The sequence below is a fragment of the Homo sapiens genome, chromosome 11, assembly GCF_000001405.40.
Source record: "Homo sapiens chromosome 11, GRCh38.p14 Primary Assembly".
In the NCBI taxonomy this organism is placed as follows: domain Eukaryota; kingdom Metazoa; phylum Chordata; class Mammalia; order Primates; family Hominidae; genus Homo; species Homo sapiens.
Genome location: NC_000011.10, coordinates 44,652,742 through 44,657,876, shown reverse-complemented (window position 1 = coordinate 44,657,876; position 5,135 = coordinate 44,652,742). Strand labels below are relative to the sequence as shown.

Here is a 5,135-nt window from a genome sequence, read left to right as displayed (position 1 = left end):
AAGGAAGTCATTTTTCTGTTCCTTCAGGCACATCCATAGCAATGCTTGTACTGTGAATTTAAAACTCCCAACCCGATACATATTTTATTTTATTTCTTATTTCTTTTTTTTGAGATGCAGTCTCACTCTGTCACCCAGGCTGGAGTGCAGTGGCACAATCTCGGCTCACTGCAACCTCTGCCTCCCGGGTTCAAGCAATTCTCCTGCCTCAGCCTTTTGAGTAGCTGGGACTACAGGTGCCCGCCACCATGCCAGGCTAATTTTTGTACTTTTAGTAGTCAAATTTTCGCCATGTTGGCCAGGCTGGTCTCGAACTCCTGACCTCAAGAGATCGGCCCGCCTCGGCTGCCCAAAGTGCTGGGATTACAGGCATGAGCCACCATGCCTGGCCCTGATAGCATGTTTTAAAGAGAAGGAATGACATAAGGACAAATAACATGTTATATAACAAATAGCTTTAGCTACTTCTCTTATGCTTCAAACTTTTTGTGCTTAATTTTTTTTTTTGAGATGGAGCCTCTTTGTTGCCCAGGCTGGAGTGCAGTGGTGTAATCACAGCTCACTGCAGCCTCAGACTCCTGGGCTCAAGCGATCCTCCCACCTCGTCCTCTCAAAGTGCTGGGATTACAAGCATGAGCCACCACACCTGGCCTAAAATTTATTTTTAATAAAAAAGGATTGATTTATTATAGTTCAAATATATAAAATTAGCATTCAAACATCTTAAAATCAAACTTCAGAAACAAAAGTTTAACATCAAACAGGAGTACAATTTTCAGGGAGCATCCAGAAAGTAATTCGTTGTCTAGTCCAAAACATTGACAAAGATCATTTCATGATCAATAAAATGCATTTTACCAGTACCTTTTTTTTTTCTTTTTTCCTTTTTCTCATGTCTTCATAAAATCACCAGCAGTTCTATTCCGGCCCACATCTTATTGACTGTGGCTCCATACCTCTTTAGTGGCACTTTTGTTTCTTTGGAATTCTTCCCTTGCCCAGTCCTTCAGGTATTTGTTATCAGAATCATTTGAAACTGGCCGACTTGCTTGCAAAATCTTTTTGTAGCAGAGGAGAACTTGTTGCCACCTCATGAAGTGCTTTAGCAATTTTTTTTTTTTTTTTTTGAGATAGAGTTTTCCTCGTTGCCCAGGCTGGAGTGCAGAGGCACGATCTCAGCTCACTGCTACCTCCACCTCCCTGGTTCAAGCGATTCTCCTGCCTTAGCCTCCTGAGTAGCTGGAATTAAAGGTGCCCACAACCACACCCGGCTAATACTTGTATTTTTAGTAGAGACAGGGTTTCACCATGTTGTCCAGGCTGGTCTTGAACTCCTGACCTTAGATGATCCACCTGCCTCGGCCTCCCAAAGTGCTGGGATTACAGGCATGAGCCACCTCGCCCAGCTGAACTTCTTTAGCATTTGCGTCACCAGTGGGGAAACGGGAATCAGCTATGTCCCCCAGACAGCGTTCCCCTCAGCCCCCTTTTTGGTTTCACCATAAATCTCCCCTTCGGCAAATTCTCTGCCCCAAGCAGAGCCCACTCTCCAAGTCTCCCTGTGTTTGCTTCTACCGTTTCCTCTAGCTTGGAATACCCCAGTCTGCTTTTCCAACAGAACAAATCCTGCCCACTTTCCATACTCATCCCCGAGGACCCCTCCCTCAGGAGGCCTTCCCAGATTGCCCCACCTCCCCCAACTTTAGCAAGAGTTGATGGTTTCCTTTGTTCCCACAAAACTTCATTTACTCCCCCTGTACACACATACCATTCTCTGCCTTATCTGCAGAAGTGTTGGGTGAGGGGGTGTTGTGTCTGTCTTCTCCCTTTGAGCTCCCTAAGCGGGTTGGGGCCTGCTGTCTAAATCACATTGTTCCCCCTCTGCCCCCAACACACACACATAGCCTAACACCAGAACAAGCAGTAGGCAAGGGATAAATGCAGTTGAACCAGATTTATAACCAGGGGTGACATTAGATATTTACTGGTGGGCCAGGCGCAGTGGCTCATGCCTGTAATCCCAGCACTTTGGGAGGCCGAGGCGGGTGGATCACGAGGTCAGGAGATCAAGACCATCCTGGCTAACACGGTGAAACTCCGTCTCTACTAAAAATACAAAAAATTAGCTAGGTGTGGTGGCGGGCGCCTGTAGTCCCAGCTACTCGGGAGGCTGAGGCAGGAGAATGGCGTGAACCTGGGAGGAGGAGCTTGCAGTGAGCCGAGCTTGTGCCGCTGCACTCCAACCTGGGCGACAGAGCGAGACTCCATATCTAGAAAAAAAAAAAAAAAAAAAAAAGAATATTTACTGGCTGGGTGCATTGCGTCATGCCTAGGAGGCCGAGGTGGGCGGATCACCTGAGGTCAGGAGTTCGAGACCAGCCTGGTCAACATGGTGAAACCCCATCGCTACTAAATATACAAAAATTAGCCAGGCGTGGTGGTGCGCCCCTGTAGTTCCAGCTACTCAGGAGGCTGAGGCAGGAGAATCACTTGAACCCGGGAGGTGGAGGTGGCAGCGAGCTGAGATCACTCCACTGCACTCCAGCCTGGGCAACAGAGTGAGACTCCATCTCAAAAAAAAAAAAAAATATTTACTAGCCAGCAGAGTATGGACAGCAGCTAGTCAGAAAGGGAAGAATCAACAAAGCATGACTGCTATCTGTAATTTCCAAAGAGCTTCGGCCTTTGCTAGCCCCTCCTGACCTGACCTCCATCTGAGCATGAGCAAGAGGTTGAGAGGCATTCAGCACTGGGGGAGGTCGGGAGCAGGGGGTAGCCCTGGGCTGTGAACCTTGCCAGGACTTTCTAGCTAGCAAGCACAAGGCTAGGGCTGGAATTCAAGTAGTAGGACTCTCAGGACCCGCACTGTGGGACAGCCCACACCCCTAGCTTGGCTTTGGAGTAGGTCAAGACGTAGCCTGGGTGCAGGTGGTGGGTGGGACTTGTTAGAATAGGGGAAAGGCTGGCATTGTGGAGCCAGGCCTATGCTTGTTACTCCTGGTTGTGTCATGTGTGGGAGCTGAGCCTGCAAGGGCCATTTGGAAAAGAGGCCCCGTCGGTGCCTGCGGGGCTCCCTGCGCTGGCTCTGCAGAGGGCCCAGCTTTGCCAGCCACATGGCGAGGCTGTCTGCAAGACCGGGGAGGCATCGCTGAACTCCCGGAGCCTTGGCTTTATTCTGTAAAATGGATGCAATGGTATTTATGTTATAGGCTTGTTAAGAGCATGGCTTGTGATAAAGCTCTTGCCTGGGTCATAGAACGCTCAAAGTAACATTGGTTCCCTTCCCTTCTGCTCCCCTGCCCCTATACTTGGGCAACCAGGTGGGGAATGGAGGAAGGGGGAAGATGGATGGGGCTTCAGCCACTGCCCAGGCCCCTTCTTCAGCCCAGTTCATTCAACAAGGCAGGTGTCTTGACTACTGACATTGTGAACTTCCTTGTTGGCCCGAAGAGCGGGCCGAGAAAGCAACAGTCCTGCCTCGCCTCTCCTGGACCGTGCCACAGACAGCCCAGGGGCTTGCTCACTAGGGAGGCATTCTCATTGCCATTTGGCAGATGAGACTACTGAGGCTCAGAGAGGCCCACTGTCCCAAGTGGCCCACCTAGGGAGTGGCCATGCTGGGGCGGGGCTCCAGGAGTGTGTCCCCCCAACCAAGTCTGTCTCTTTGATAAGGATGAGAGTGAGCGATTATGCCCAGCGCCACACCAGGCACAGGGAGGTAGTCACAGGGCAAGGTCTGGGCACCAGGGCACTGGCCAGGAGGGCAGTCCTGCATCAGCAAGGAAGGAGAAGCGGAGGGCTTCCTGGGGCAAGAGGAGGATGACCAGCTCCCAGGCCTTAAAGGTCCCCAAGAGAGGCCCTGGCTCCATCAGGAGCCCCATGCCCTGAGACCTCCTTACCAAATGCCCTAAGCAGGAGTCATTGTCTCTCTCAGACCTTGGGTCCCAAGTTCCTTGATGGCAGTGACAGCCTTCTATGGCTACCTTCCTGGAAAAGCAGGAACAAGTCAGGAACCTCTGGCTTGATTACCTTCACCTGCCCAAGGCCTGCCATAAATGGGTCCCAGACAGTGTGCGCAACCCATGGCTTCCGGCTTTCATAAGTGGAAAAGCCGGAGAGGAGAGAACCAGCCAGAATGCTAGGGTGAGAGGGGGAGGGGAGCAGCAACAGGGAAAAGAGCGAAGAGCCCCCCACTTTCCAGGTTCTTCTTGGGGGCCCAGAAACCTGACCTGACCCTGGAGGCTCAGCCCCGTGTTCCTGGCCTCTCCTATTCCATAGCCTCCAGGCTGATTCTGCCCCTTAGAGCTTGCAGGTGAAAAAAGACAGAGGGGAGAACAAGGCAGGCTGCAAAGAGGCGTGTTTCTTTCCTTTCGTGCCTCCCGCACTTTGATCCAGGCAGGAGCAGAAAAGGCAAAGTCAGCAAAATCCACCCCATTTGCTGCCCCCAGCCCTGCAGCTGCCTCCTCCCACCCCCTGGCGCCCCAGGGCTGCCCACAGTTATAAGCTGGAAAGTGCTGGAAAAGCAGTGGCAAGGAGGCCACCCGCTGGGTGACAGGAAAGCCCAGCTCTTCATGGGGATTCCTGGTGTTGCTCCTCACCCACCACTGTGCTCTGCAGTGGGGTGAGGGGGTGAAGGGAGCTAGCACTGGGCAAAGCCACTGTGTGGCAAGCCTTTTATGTCTCCGTCTGTCTTCACAATAACCTGCGATAGGCGTCACTGCCCCCCTTTTACAGATGAAAAGACTGAGGCTCCATGAGTTACACAGCTGGGGAGAGGCGCGGTTGGGACCTGAGCTTAGATGTGTATTTCTTCAGGGACTGCCCACCACGTTGGGGAGGTGGGGTGCAGGTTGCTCTCTATCGTTTACTTTCCAAGTGACACCGCTATTTGTCCTTGGTTGTCTAAGAGGAGAGCTCTTTGCCCAAGAGAGTCCGAGCACATTTGCGGACCATCTTCAAGAATGTCCATTTCACACCATCAGAGTGTTCTCACTGACAGTGTCTTTGGCCACTGCCCGCAATTCTCCAGGGGCACGGTTTTGTGTGGACAACGCAAGTGGCCTCAACAGAACTTCACAGCTTCAGCTCCCCCAGGCCTTGTAATATGGGAGTGAACTCAGGGCCCACGGTCCCCG

The 5,135-nt window shown here is 51.8% G+C and overlaps 2 annotated features.

Annotated features, from left to right (window-relative positions):
- Positions 2,514–3,129: an enhancer, noted in NCBI's record as "H3K4me1 hESC enhancer chr11:44676298-44676913 (GRCh37/hg19 assembly coordinates)". NCBI's record gives its function as "activates a minimal SCP1, AML or CMV promoter by ChIP-STARR-seq in naive H9 embryonic stem cells {active_cell/tissue: H9 hESC(naive)}" and the evidence as "EXISTENCE:reporter gene assay evidence [ECO:0000049][PMID:30033119]".
- Positions 3,747–4,362: an enhancer, noted in NCBI's record as "H3K4me1 hESC enhancer chr11:44675065-44675680 (GRCh37/hg19 assembly coordinates)". NCBI's record gives its function as "activates a minimal SCP1, AML or CMV promoter by ChIP-STARR-seq in naive and primed H9 embryonic stem cells {active_cell/tissue: H9 hESC(naive and primed)}" and the evidence as "EXISTENCE:reporter gene assay evidence [ECO:0000049][PMID:30033119]".